Source organism: Homo sapiens, chromosome 3, assembly GCF_000001405.40.
Source record: "Homo sapiens chromosome 3, GRCh38.p14 Primary Assembly".
Taxonomy (NCBI): Eukaryota; Metazoa; Chordata; class Mammalia; order Primates; family Hominidae; genus Homo; species Homo sapiens.
Window position 1 is genome coordinate 52030656 of NC_000003.12, and position 13745 is coordinate 52044400.

The window sequence follows — 13745 nt, forward strand, 5'->3', positions numbered from 1 at the left end:
CCATCCTGGGAAGGAACAGGTGTGTGTAAAAGGAAGAGTCCCTGAGGCCTGGGGAGGGAGCCAGGGAAAAAGATCATCACTCAGAAAGGAGCCCACAGGCTATCGGATGGGTGCCAGCCCCACCACCCCAGCCCCTGGGAGGCTTCCACACCGAACGGGTCCTTTTTTGAATCCGGCTGAGGGCCTCCACCTCCACCTAAGGCTGGATTCATGAGAACCTGAGGGTGTGGAAGGGTTTTTTGCCACATGACATGGGTTGAGTCACCTCATGCTAACCCAGAGGGGAGATCCAAGCCTCCAGTTGCCCTGAACCAGAGACCAGGCCCAGGCACGCTTCTCAGCAAAGCTCCCACCTTTAGGACCTGGGTGGTTGCTGGCTGCAGGATCCTAGCCAGACCAGGCAGATGACACTACTGACAAGGACAGAAACCTGGGGAACAGCACCCTTCTGCTCTTGCTCTGCGCCAGACACCGGCTGAGCTCGGCTTCCCAGCACTCCCTCATTTAACTTAATTCTCATGATCCTGGGAGATTTGCCCAATTATTTACCCCTGTTTTACAGACGAGGAGCTGAGGCCCAGGGGAGTTGAAATTCTTGCCCAGAGTCACAGAGCACCAATAACCCTAGTACACAGACGCACACTCAGAGGGACCGAGACACTCTGCTCAGCGGTCTCGTTGCTCACGAGCACACTCCTTGCAAGGGGGGTCTGTGATGGCAGAATCCTTAATGGTAAATCCCTGGGAAACTGGAAATGTCCATGGCAGGTCTTTGCACAGGACCCCAATGAGGCAGACATGGAAGCTGAAACAGAAGGCAATGCAAGCTCGTTGATGGGAGAAAGGCAGCTGCAGCTGGTATAGATCAATCCCACTTATGCGACACGAGTGTCAGAGATAAAAACCGGGGACGGGGCACAGTGGCTCACACCTGTAATCCCAGCACTCTGGGAGGCCAAGTCATGGGGATTACCTGAGTCAGAAGTTCGAGACCAGCCTGGGCAACATAGTGAGAACTCATCTCTACAAAAAATACAACAACAAAAACTTAGCCAGGCATGGGGCACTCACCTGCAGACCCAGCTACTCTGAAAGCTGAGGTGGGAGGATCGCTTGAGCCCCTTGCTGCAATGAGCCATGATCACACCACTGCATTCCAGCTTGGGTGACAGAGTAAGACCCTGCCTCAAAACAACAAAAACAAAACCAAAGCTAGGTGGCTTAGGGAGCAGATGGGACACCCTGCTACATGCCCACTGGAGGGTAGACACGGACAGGGCCCAGGACCACGCCGCCACATGTCTGCATGCTTGCATGCACACAGACCCCCCAGCCCCCCGGCGGACCCTCCAAGCCTCTCTGCCTGGGCCTCCCTGGCTGGGATGAAGGGACTGGTGGGCTGGGCCCAGGTCCACAGCATGGTGTCCTGGCCGGTCCATGGCAGTCTGGGGGCCTTGGCTCCGCCCTCTCCAGCAGCTCCCTCCTCCTTCCTTCCTCTCTTCTTTTATCCTGCTTGCTCCCTCCTCTCTGTCACCTCTGAGAGGTCCCGAGAAGGAGTCCTCAGTGGCACCAGCCACACACATGACATGTCATGCTGTTCAGTCACACACCGCATTCCTGCCCCCAGCCCGTATCTGCAACAGGCTGCCCCGTAAAGACAGCTTCCCTCACTCCATCCCTCCTTTGCGACCACAGGGTGTACCTTAGCCTTGCAGAACCTCAGTTTCTTCATCTGTAAGATGTGGAGAATGCCACACATATCTGGAGAATAGGTGTGTCTCATGGGCTATTTGTGAAGATGCATTGTACACCCCAGTTTCATTGCCTCAAAGATGGGGAGAATAATTTCTTCCCATAAAGATGAAAGCATACAAAAGGCTTCGTGCAGAGCTTGCAGAGAACAAGGCCTCACTAAACGGAGACAGTGCTCTCATGATCACGCCAGGCCCTGCACTGCCCCACGTAAACCTCTGGGGTTCTGGTCTAACACTTCCCATTTTCCTAATGAGGAATCTGGAGCTTAGCAGGGTTAGCGATGTCCCCACGGTCACACAGCTGTAGGTGGCGGAGCTGGGGCTCCAACCCAGGGTTGTCCTATACCTGTAGGCTCAACTCCACTGGATGACCTGCTCAGCCCACGTGGAGGGTGTCTGTGGCCCTCACTGGAGGGCAGCCAGTTTTGCACTGGGTTCTTTGTCTGAGCCCACAGAACACCAGGGGAGGAGGCTCAGGCACGCCTGCCTGGCTCTGCGTTCAGCCCTCTGGACAGGGCTCTGAGCCCAAGTGGGTGGCTGGGCAGCTGTCAGCTTGCAGAGAGGGGCTGAGGGCTCTGCAGGAGCTTCTGCTGCCCCTGGCACCACTCTCCCAGGTCCTGGGGTGGGGTGCGGTGGGGGCAAGAGCAAGTGGCCTTAGGTTAATTCACTCTCCTTTTCTCGTGTGAGGACCCCTGAGGCCACAGCACCTCATGCAGTGTGGAGACCAACCCGGCCTTGCCTGGAGCCAGCTAGGCTCTGGGCAGATGGTCTCTGCTGCTCAGCTTTGGAATTCCAGGCACATCCTGAGGCTGCAGCAGAGGCTGTGGGGGATAAGCCAGGGCCTGGGCCTGCACGGCTGGGAGAGGCCAGTGCAGACACCCCCAGCACCTGCTGCGGCAGCATGAAGAGTGACCCTGCAAGGTCTTAGGAGGACAGACGCTGTGAGTCCCTAAGAGGCCTCCACCTGGCCTGCACCCCTCTCCCTGCTCTCGTGCCTTCAAGGGCTCCCTCCCCACTGTTTGCAGGATTATAGCTGAGTTCCTTGGCTGGGTGCCTGAAACTCCCTGTACATCCCAATTTCACTGCCTGAAAGATGGGGAGAATAATCCCTTCCCATGAGGACGAAGTAAGGTGGTATGTGCCTAGAACAGAGCCTGATACACAGGAGGGGCTAAACCACGCAGGTTCCTCTTCCCTGAGACTTCTGAGTTCCCTGAGACTTCCCTGAGTTCCTCTTACCTGTGACTCCTGAGAAATCAGGTATCACAGTTTAAGCTGCCTAGTGCATGGTGCTGAATGGATTAAGTACCTTCTCACTGTGCTGCACTCCTTGCCCAGCAGCCTGGCCTGTGTCTCTCTGTTTCTCTCTCACTCTCTCTTTTTCTTTTTTTGAGACAGGGTCTCACTCTGTCTTCCAAGCTGGAGTGCAGCGGTGTGATCATAGTTCACAGCAGCTGTAAACTCCTGGGCCCAAGGGATCCTCCCACCTCAGCCTCCTGAGTAGGTTCAAGCCACCATGCCTGGTTAATATTTTATTTATGTATTTATTTTGAGACAGAGTCTCTCTGTCGCCAGGCTGGAGTGCAGTAGCGCAATCTCGGCTCACTGCAACCTCTGCCTCCTGGGTTAAAGCGATTCTCATGCCTCAGCCTCCTGAGTAGCTGGGATTACAGGTACGTGCCACCACACCCAGCTAATTTTTGTACTTTTAGTAGAAACAGGGTTTCACCATGTTGGCCAGGATGGTCTTGATCTTCTGACCTCGTGATCCGTTTGCCTTGGCCTCCCAAAGTGCTGGGATTACAGGCATGAGCCACCGCGCCCGGCCAATGCCTGGCTAATTTTTAAATTTTTTGTAGAGATAGGGTGTTGCCATATTGCCCAGGCTGGTCTCAAATTCCTGGTTTCAAGCAATCCTCCCTCCTTGGCCTCCTAAAATGCTGGGACTACATGCATGAGCCACTGCACCCAGCCACCTCTGTCTCTTGGACTTACAGGGAACAAAGGGCAGAAGTTCACTCACCTCCTGCTGGAAAAATAGACTTGTAAGCAGCAAGGGCTGGAGGCAGGGGGAAGAACAGATGACCCCCCGAGGGCCTAGAGAGGGAGGGGAAGAGGGGGGCCTTGCCTGTGTCCAGGCATCCCAGGGTATGCTATGTTGAGGCCGGGCACTGCCAAAGATGGGGAGCATGAGGCTGACCTGCCAGGTGTGTTGTCGTGGTGCCCACCCCTTCCCCCTAGGGAAGGACAGCAGTCCAGTCTCACACCCGCTAGAGACTCTTGGAATTCAGCAGGGAGTGGTCAAACAGCCCTATGGAGAGTGGAGCCACCTCATACCCACAGGGAGGACAGAGGCCTCCAAAGACCTCCACCTGGGGGCACACAGGGTGCAGGATGCCCATAGATGAAATCTGAGCAGACTCCCTGGAGGAGGGGGCCTCTAGGATGCCCGTGTTTGGGCAGAGAGAAGCCTGAGTCCCAGAAAGGTGGAGGATGGACAGGGAAGGTCCATGAATGTGTAACACAGGCCTGGGCAGTGGCCTGGCACCATGGGCCACATTCTCTGGGGAGGATGATGGACATGATCCTATGGGAGGGAACAACCTCACTGGGGGAGGCTGGACAACAGCCGCTGGGTCCAATGTGAGCCAGGGATCACGGAGCAAGTTAGAGGCTAACCACTCCAATTCTCCCTTCCTTCAAGCTGTGATTTTCTTAGGGCAGGTTCCCAGGAATGGGATTGCTGGATTAAAGGTTGTTCATATTTTTAGGCCTTTTGACTCAAGTTGCCAAATGGCCTGCAGACAGCATCTCCAGGTCCCCCACCCTTGGTTGGCTACGAGGCAGCCAGGGAGAGCTGAGACAGCATCCCACCCCAACTTCCGAAGGTCAGTTATACCTGTGGTCTGGGACGAGGCTGGCTGAGCTCTCCCTAGGATAAAAGGACTGCTGTAACATCATGGTCCACGCCATAGCCTCATGGCCCCTTCTCTGGGCTTCCCTCGCTCCCTCTGTGGGAACATAGGAGTGGGTGAGCCAGCCCTACCCTCGTGGAGTCTCATGGGTATTCCCACAGACAAACAAGCCCCACATCACCAGGACAGGGTGGTGGGCACAACGAAGGCATTTCACTCAGCCTGGGGCTGGGCAGCTTCCTGGAAGCAGCAATACCAGCCCACGCAGGAGGCAGCCAGCTGGGGACAGGAGGGATCAGGACAGGTGGGCCTTGGGGTGGCCTTGTCCCTGTGCCTCTCTAGGGCTGGGCCTGACCCCAGGATGAAGCATCCTCATTCCATCCCTTCTGTCTAGCCAAGGGCTGGGGCTTTGTGTTCCCCTCCCTCACATTCCAAGTCACTGAATTTCTCTGGGCCTCCGTCTCTATACTTACAGTCCAGTGGGAACCTCGTGGAGGAGTTAGAAGCGCTTCTGTCAAGTCTTCACCTTGGAGCAGTGGTTACTGCTAGCCGGGGTACCTGGGAGGGAGAGTTCTTCTGGCAGGGGAAGCATGGCTGAGCCCACTGGGCACTGGCTGGAGTCCCGGGACTCCCCCAGCCCAGGGTCAGGCTCAGACTGCAGCATTCAAGGAGCCCTGCTGCCAGAGGAAAGATACCTGAGGCCACCTTCCTTCTGGGCCTGACCCCTGCGTCTCTCTGCCCTCTGTTCCCTGAGACCCAGTGCCAGGGCAGAGTGGCCTAGCACCCTGATCCTCCCAGCCACCCGCAGGGTCACCAGACGGTGTCCCCCATCTTCAAGGCAGCATTTCCATCCCCCCTGTCCTCCAGCTGGGGCACACTCCACAGTGGCTGCTTGGACAGCCCCTGACGGTGCATCCCCAGGGCTCTTCCCCCAGCAGGGTGAGGCACCAAAACTCACCCCCAGCCCAGAGACTGCGGGGCGTTGAGGGGTGCCTGAGAGCTACTGCTCCCATCCCCCAGCAGGCACAGCCCAATACCAGCTGCTCTCATCCCCCAGGGCCTGGTGGTTTAGACAAGTTCCCCCACACCTGAATTGACAGGTCCCTTTATGATCCCCATTTAAATGAGGCTCAGAGAAGGGAAGTACCCTGCCCAGGGGCATACAGCTGATGCCCTCTGAGGGTGAGATTGGAAACCAGTCTGACTGAAAGCCAGACTCTCAACTGTGCCGCAGAGCTCACCCCACTGGGATACTGCCATATGTGATGCTCACCACCTGGCTCGGCTGTGTCCAGAGCTTGCTTTTTTTTTTTTTTTAATACAGAATCTTGCTCTATTGGTTGCCCAGACTGGAGTGCAGTGGTACAATCATAATTCTGTGGCCTCCACCTCCCGGGCTCAAAGGATTCTCCCGCCTCAGCCTCTAGAGCAGCTGGGGCTGTAGGTGAGTGCCACCACACCTAGCTACTTTTTTTTTTTGGATTTTTTTTTTTTGTAGAGATGAAGTCTCACTGTGATGCCCGGGCTGGTCTCAAACCCCTGAGCTCAAGCAATCTTCCCACTTCAGTCTCCCAAAGTGCTGGGATTACAGGTGGTTTTCAGAGTTTTTGTTCATCAGAGGTCTCTGATCCTTACCACAGCCCTTGGGGAGGGGATGCACTTACTGCCTACAGGTGGCAGCTGAGGCCCAGAGACCGAAGGGCTGGATCACATACCGACCACTCACCGACACCGGGTGCCAGTGGACTGACACCTATACAGAGGGAGGTGCTCAGGAGGTTCAGGGGTGGAGACTGCTGGGCTGGGGGAAGGTGGGAGGAGGGGGCTGGGCTGCAAGGGGCTTTCTGCCTATGCCAGGCACTATCCCAGGCTGCTGCACTTTCAGCAGCCCCAGTATTTTATTGACTGAGTGGCAAAAAAGCTTTCAGCATAAACAGTGCCGTGTGAGTGTGGAACAAGGTCTGCTAGGCTGGCCTTTCGAAGCCTCCCTCTATGAGGGCCCTGACACCTGCCCCAGCTACAGCCCTGGCTAGCCTTGCCATCAGAGCATCATTGTACTTTCCTCAGAGTGCCTCTTCAGCAGAGGACAGAGTCTGAGGGACAGAGTAGGATCCCCTCCCAGAAACCCTCAGGACAGGCAGGGTGACTGCTGGGGGCCTGCTGGTGTATTCTGCCTAGCAGGTATGATGCAAGAACTTACAGTATCTGGACTGCCAATAGCCCTTTACAGGAGTCCAGCCAGTGTGTAGATGGGGAGACTGAGGCCCAGAAAGGCCAGGGACCTGGCTGCGGGCCCACAGCCCTTCGGGAGCAGAGCTGGAGTCAGGATCCAGAGCCTCAGCCTCCTGGCCCCGCCTAGGAACACTCAGGTCAGCTGTGCTTCGCCCTCAGGCCCCAGCAACCACCTCTGCCTAGTACAGCCCAGCTCAGGCAGGTGCTGGCCACCTTAGGGCCTGAGCCTGGGGCAGAGGCTGGAGTTGGCTATGTTGGAGCTGCGGCCCTGCCCTGAATCCAAAAGTTGCCTGAAGCCCCATCTCTCCTCCCATCACTCCCTGACGGCAGCTGCCGCAGATCATCTAGGGATCCCAGACAGGGCAACCCCCAGTGTAATGAGGCCAAACTCCCACTTCTCTCCCAGACATCTTGGGGTAGCCTCGACCTCGCTGTTCCTTGGATGGACACAGTTCAGCGGCTACCTTGAAACTGAAGGAGGTCAAAACTGGGCTCAGAGCTGAGGCTTTCCCCTTCTGCTGGGGGCTCGGCACCTAACTCTCTCACTGGGTCTTGGGCTTGACTAGGCTCGAGGAGGCTTTAGGCACCAAGGACTCTGAGGCTGGGGTGTCAGCAACACTGGCAGCTGGGACAGAAGGGGCCCTTGGCCAGGTCTGGACGAGAGAGCACCTGCTTCTACCCCCCACTGCCTGATGTTGGCCCAGGCTGAGCCCAGCACCCTCAAACCAGGGGAGCAGCCTCACCCCTACCATGTGCTCCTGGCAGCCTCTGCCAAGGAGCCCAGAGAGAGGGTGACAGGGCAGGCACGCTCTGGGGAGGCTGGGCTGGGCATTTCTTGCCAGCAAGTGCCAGGGCTTGAATCCCCTGAAGGGGTGAGTCTTTAGCTTTAGTCAGAGGAAGTGAGGCAGGGCAAATGGGCAATGTGTGTGTAGTGCTGCCGACCTGGCAGCGACCATGCCTGCGGGGATGGGCAGCCGTAGGGACTGCAGAGCAGGCCTGGCCCTGCAGGTCTCCGGCATCCATGCAGCCATGTCTGCCCTCAGTGGCTGTGTACTGCCCAGTACCCAGGGCGGTCACCCTGAGACCAGGCCCCTGTGGTGACCAGCCTGACCCCAGCTGCATCCTGACCCAGTTGCTGAGTCTCTGTTCTGCCCCTCACCTGCCGTGTGGTTTCGAAGGTCACTTGACCTCTCTGAGCCTCAGGATTCTCATCTGGAAAGTGGGGAAGACTGTGGAACCCAGACGCCCCTGGCTTCCCCCTCCCCAACATCAGGAGTCCACTCCTGAGTTAGAAAGAGCCCACCAGGGTAGAGTCTGCTGCGTTGACAGGGGGGCCCTGCTTCATTGAGCAGAAGGGGCATCTGGGCCCAGGCAGCAGGGCCTTCTCAACACAGGCTGCCCGGATGGCTTGTGCTGTGCAGATGGCCCAGGGTGAGCCCCCAGACCCATCAGCCTTGAGAGTCATCAGCATTCTCACGGGGCTCAGCAAATTGAGCTTCCCTACTCACCCCTGGGTGATGAGTTATCAACACTATTGCCATCTGCAGGCGCAAGGCTGTGAGCACCCTCCAGGAGGCCACCAGCCTGTCCCACAGCCCCTATTTCCGAGGATGTGGCTTGGGTCCTCAATGGCTGGATTCTCAGGCATTTTTCCTGACCCAGCTCTGACCATGCAGGGTGAGAGGTGCAGTTTCTGTCTTGGTCCCCAGACTAGGGTCTCTTCATCAAGAGGAAGACAAGGCCTCCCACGCCTCTCCCTGCTAGGAAGCCTCCAGCAAACCTTGGCCACATGGAGAAGGGAGAAAATGTGGGGCTCAGGGTCCCAAACCCCCAGGCCCTAGCAAAGGCAGGAGGCAGGGCTGGGCATGGGGAAGAGAGTCTACCCTGGGTAGAGCCCTGTCCCCCTGGGCCTCTGTACAGCCTAGTATCCATGGAGGGCTCAGGCTAGCCCAAGAGTGAGCAAAGATGGCCTTGGGCTAGCTCACATCATGGAAAGTCACTGGGAACAAAAGGCTGGTCACGGGCCTGGCAAGGACTCAGACCACAAAGCCTCTTCTATTTCCTGTCCACCATGGGCCAGGGACCCCTCCCCAAGGAGGCATTGCCCCATCCCACTTCAATGCTCCCTCTTGGGGACCAGGACTGGCTGGGGACAGAGACTACAAGTAGAAAGGCTTACACCTTAGAGTCACAGACTTGAGCGGAGCGTGGGGGCCCATCTCTCCCAGCCCCCTTTCCACAGAGGGGGACACCAAGGCTCGGGGAAGGGAAAGAGCAGAGCAGAGCCAGGTGTCTTCATAGAAGGCCAGCGGTCAGCCCAAAAGGCAAAGGTGTGGGAACTGAGGAGGGTCCTGGGACGGATGTGGCTGGGCCAGATGGGAGACCGTCCCGGGCTCTGGCCAGCCTGGGCAGTCAGCCTCCCTTCCCGGGCCCGGCTGGGTGGGGGCAGCAGGGCTCAGGCGGGCGGGCTGTTGATCCAGCCCGACAATGATGAAACGGCCCCTTTGTCCTGCGGCGCCAAAGTTGCTGTGACTGGAGGAGGCGTGACGTGAAAGGGTCATTGTTCCCACTTGGGCAACCACTCAGGGAGCTGGAGGACCGGCCCAGAGCAGGCTTCATGCCAGCACTGCAGCCCTGCCTGCTGCCTGTGGCCGGTCGGGGTATCCTGGGCTCCCTGCTCCTACTGTGGCCAGTTCCTCCCTAGGGCCAGGGCCAGCTTGGGCACAGGTATCCCTCCCCACCACTGTGTCCCCCTCCCTTTCCCTCCTTCCTCCTGTCTGGAATAGATCACAAATGGGGGACTCCACATACACGTGAACGCTGCCAGGTCGGACGCCTGCAGGCACCAAGGAGAGCTGGCGGGTGGGGGGTAAAGAAGGTGCTTTATCCTGGGACAAGGAAACATGCCAGTGACATTCACATCCTGAGGCTGTGACCTCAGGAACATCTCCTTCCCACTCCCACCCCCCAACCCTGGCACCTTGTGGATGGAGGGAGAGAGGGCCAGAGAAGGGAATTTGGCAGCCCTGGGCACCTTCTGGATAGAGGGAGCGAGGGCCAGAGAAGAGAAGTGGGTGGGCCCGGGCACCTTGTGGGTGGAGGGAGAGAGGGCCAGAGAAGGGAATTGGGCAGCCCCGGGCACCTTGTGGATGAAGGGAGAGAGGGCCAGAGAAGGGAAGTTGGCGGCCCCGGGCACCTTGTGGATGGAGGGAGAGAGGGCCAGAGAAGGGAAGTGGGTGGCCCCGGGCCATTCAGCACAAGCTCGTGGGCTGATGCCCAGGCTGGACTTCACTCCCCACCAGCCCCTAGACATGATGGACCTCCATTCTCTCTGGAAACCTGAGGCCCCTTCTCCATGCCCCCCATTCCTCCCTTGTCCCTTCAATCCACTCTCCCCTGAGCAGCTGTGCCCCGTGAAATCTTTCTAAAACCAAAACTTTATTGGATTCCACCCTAGCTTCAAACCTGCCATGCCACGTCCAGAGAAATCCCAAGCTCTTGTGTGGCATTCAAGGCCCTCCCTGCATAGCAGCAGCCAGGGCTGGGAGCCCCTGTCTGGATCCTCCCTCAGCCCCTGTGCAGGAACACAGATCACAGCAAAGACTATTTCATCTTCCCAGATCCAGCCTCCACCCTTTTGCTCTCACAGGTCCCGCCTCTTGAGTACACATTTTCCCTCCTCCGGGTCCCACTGCCTCTGGCCTCTGGGGCTCAGGGCCGGGGTGGTCAGGAGTGGCTGGTCTGGGCTGAAGTGAGAGTCTCCTTCTCCCCACCCTAGGTGGCCCACTGGCTTCAGTGCACAGAACTACTCTCCTCTTGGGCTCTCCACTGCCCCCAGCAGCTGGCATCAGGCTCAGCCTGACCCAGGCTAATTAAACCCTCCCCCAGCTCAGAGGAGGCTCTGGCTCTAGCTCTAGACTTCTTTCCCTGGAGGGACAGAGCTAATTAACCGAAAGGGTTTAATTAATCAATTAGCGTGGCCTCCAGACCCCTCCACTTAGCTGTGGCCATGGCAGATATTTATAAACAGGAGCTGCCAGACCCTTCTCTGGCTGGAACCTGACAGAGGGGAGGGCGGGCGATCATGGTGGGCACAGTAGCAGTGAACACGGCTGCAGAGGCAGGACGTCCTGTCAGAGCTGCAGAAGCGCCAGCCCCAGCTCCTGAGCACCACCAAAGGCCTGGGCAGATGCAGTCAGTGATGCTGGGACATGTGAGGGGACACAGTGAGGCAGATACTCGGGGGCCCCATGCAACACCTCTTTGTGCACAAGTCACACAGTTCTGACACCCAGAGCTAGGTAAGTTCCCAGAGGTGTCCCAGACATATGGCCAGGGGTGCTGATGATGTCCAGCTGGACACAGCACCCTAGCCACCAAGACCTCCAGGGATGGGCCTGCACAGAGGGCCATGGGAGCCAGAGGAGGCACCAGAACCCCAGCTGGAGGACAAGGTGAGGGAAGGCTTCCTGGAGGAGGAGACATGTGCACTAAACTCAGGGAAAGAGCAGACAGGCCAGGCGTGGTGGTTCACACCTGTAATCCCAGGTGGGCAGATCTCTTGAGGTCAGGAGTTCTAGACCAACTTGACCAACATGGCAAAACCCCATCTCTACAAAAAATACAAAAATTAGCTGGGCGTGGGGGCTCATGCCTGTAATCCCAGCTACTCAGGAGGCTGAGGCAGGAGAATCACTTGAACCCAGGAGGCGGAGGTTGCAGTGAGCCGAGATCGTGCCACTGCACTCCAACCTGCGTGTCAGAATGAGACTATGTCAAGAAAGAACGAAAGAACGGAAGAAAGGGAAGGAAGGAAGGAAGGAAGGAAGGAAGGAAGGAAGGAAGGAAGGAAGGAAGGAAGGAAAGAAGGAAGGCAGGCAGGAAGGCAGGAAGGCAGGAAGGCAGGCAGGCAGGCGCAGTGGCTCACGCCTGTAATCTCAGCACTTTGGGAGGCCAGGGCGGGTGGATCACAAGGTCAGGAGATCAAGACCATCCTGGCTAACATGGTGAAACCCCATCTCTACTAAAAATCCAAAAAAAAAAAAAAAAAATTAGCCGGGCATGGTGGCGGGCGCCTGTAGTCCCAGCTAATCGGGAGGCTGAGGCAGGAGAATGGTGTGAACCTGGGAGGCGGAGCTTGCAGTGAGCCGAGATCGCACCATTCACTCCAGCCTGGGTGACAGAGCGAGACTCTGGAAAAAAAAAAGAAAGAGAGAGAGAGAAGGAAGGAAGGAGAGAGAGAGAGAGAGAAGGAGAGAGAGAGAGAGAGAGAGAGAAAGAAAGAAAGAGAAAAAAGAAAAAAAGAAGAAAGAAAGAAAGAAAAGAAAAGAGAAAGAAAAGAAAAGAAGCCAGACACAGTGGCTCATGCCTGTAATCCCAGCACTCTGGGAGGCCGAAGCAGGCGGATCATCTGAGGTCAGGAGTTCAAGACCAGCTTGGCCAACATGGTGAAACCCCATCTCTACTAAAAATACAAAAATTAGCAGGGTGGGTGGTGGGCACCTGTAATTCCAGCTACTCAGGAGGCTGAGGCAGGAGAATTGCTTGAACCTGGGAGGCAGAGGTTGCAGTGAGCCAAGATCACGCCATTGCACTCCAGCCTGGGCAACAAGAGCAAAATTCTGTCAAAAAAAGAAGACAGAAAGAAGAGAAAGAGACAGAGAGAGAAAGAGGGAAGGAAGGGAGGAAGGGAGGGAGAAAGGGAGGGAGGGAGGAAAGAAAAGAAAAGAAAGAAAGAGAAGAGAAAAGAAAAGAAAAGAAAAGAAAAGAAAAGAAAAGAGGGAGCCAATTGAAGGGGGTGGTGGCAGGTGGAGAATATTCCAGGGGGAGGAAATAGCATGCACAAAGGCTGGAAGCAGGAACAGCAAGAGGTTCATCTCCACTAGAAGATGTCCCCTTCTGGGAGATGCCCCCAGACTACCTTACCTGTTGGAACTGGGTGTCCCTGACTCTCTGCCCCTCCAGCCTGTGCACTCCAGGAGGACAGCCCTGACTGGACACTCCCTCCCAAGCCTCCCCAGCTGTTGCCAGCCCTTCTCTTCCATTTCCCCTGCCCCACCCAGGTAACCTACAGGTGCATCGCAGTCCCTTCAGAAAGGGAGCTCCGGGCTCCTTCCCACAACATGCTGCTTTCCTCGGGCTGGCATGGGTGGGAGCCCAGCTGGTGTCAGGGATGGGAGGGGGTCAAAACCCAAAGGTCTCCTGACCTCTCAGGCCTGGGGTAGTTGAGAGCAGGGACTCTCAAGGCAGCCAGACCTGTGCCCAGACCCCAGTGGGGCCCCTTCCTGACACATGGCTTTGCAGTTCTCTGTCTTGGCTTCCTCATCTGTCCATGTGGGATAATCCAGCACCCCCTCCGAGAGCTGCTGGGGAGATTAAGTGAGTTTATCATGTAAAGCCTGCAGGACACCTGGCCCAGCACAAGGGCCATGGCTGTGTGTTATTATTATGGCTCTTACTGCAATTTGAACTGCCAGGTGACCGACTACATCGGAACAGATCCCAGGCAGGGCCAGGCATGAGGGGCAGCCATGGCAGGACCTCACGCCGAGGAATGATTCAGCCCCCAGAGCTGTCCTGGGCCCCTGCCGTGTTCCTGGCACTGCCAACACGTGGCTTCTCTAAATCAGCAACAGTAATAGCTGAACGTAAAAGACAAACAACTCTGCTTTCCTTTCAGAAGCCAGTCTGGAAAAATGGAAGCAGAGGTGTTTGTCCCAGAAATGCCACTTCTGGGCATGAGGCCCAGGGAAAGAATCTGAGATGCAGAAGAACCACACCCAGACTCCCTGCCCAGAGGTGCTGGTGAGACCACCTGAGTCCCAGCAACCGGGGAGGGACAGTG

The 13745-nt window shown here is 57.0% G+C and overlaps 1 long non-coding RNA gene across 1 annotated transcript, besides 3 other annotated features; it reads right to left on the minus strand.

Annotated features, from left to right (window-relative positions):
• Window positions 1–741: 741 nt before the first annotated feature.
• On the minus strand, window positions 742–5223 carry LOC105377088 (uncharacterized). Its single transcript, XR_940839.3, has 3 exons — window positions 5143–5223; window positions 4654–4765; window positions 742–805 (listed from the first exon to the last, which is right to left on the minus strand). It is a non-coding gene; the product is annotated as an uncharacterized LOC105377088 (long non-coding RNA).
• Window positions 879–1395: an enhancer, noted in NCBI's record as "H3K4me1 hESC enhancer chr3:52065550-52066066 (GRCh37/hg19 assembly coordinates)". NCBI's record gives its function as "activates a minimal SCP1, AML or CMV promoter by ChIP-STARR-seq in primed H9 embryonic stem cells {active_cell/tissue: H9 hESC(primed)}" and the evidence as "EXISTENCE:reporter gene assay evidence [ECO:0000049][PMID:30033119]".
• Window positions 1396–1910: an enhancer, noted in NCBI's record as "H3K4me1 hESC enhancer chr3:52066067-52066581 (GRCh37/hg19 assembly coordinates)". NCBI's record gives its function as "activates a minimal SCP1, AML or CMV promoter by ChIP-STARR-seq in primed H9 embryonic stem cells {active_cell/tissue: H9 hESC(primed)}" and the evidence as "EXISTENCE:reporter gene assay evidence [ECO:0000049][PMID:30033119]".
• Window positions 9321–9890: an enhancer, noted in NCBI's record as "H3K27ac-H3K4me1 hESC enhancer chr3:52073992-52074561 (GRCh37/hg19 assembly coordinates)". NCBI's record gives its function as "activates a minimal SCP1, AML or CMV promoter by ChIP-STARR-seq in naive H9 embryonic stem cells {active_cell/tissue: H9 hESC(naive)}" and the evidence as "EXISTENCE:reporter gene assay evidence [ECO:0000049][PMID:30033119]".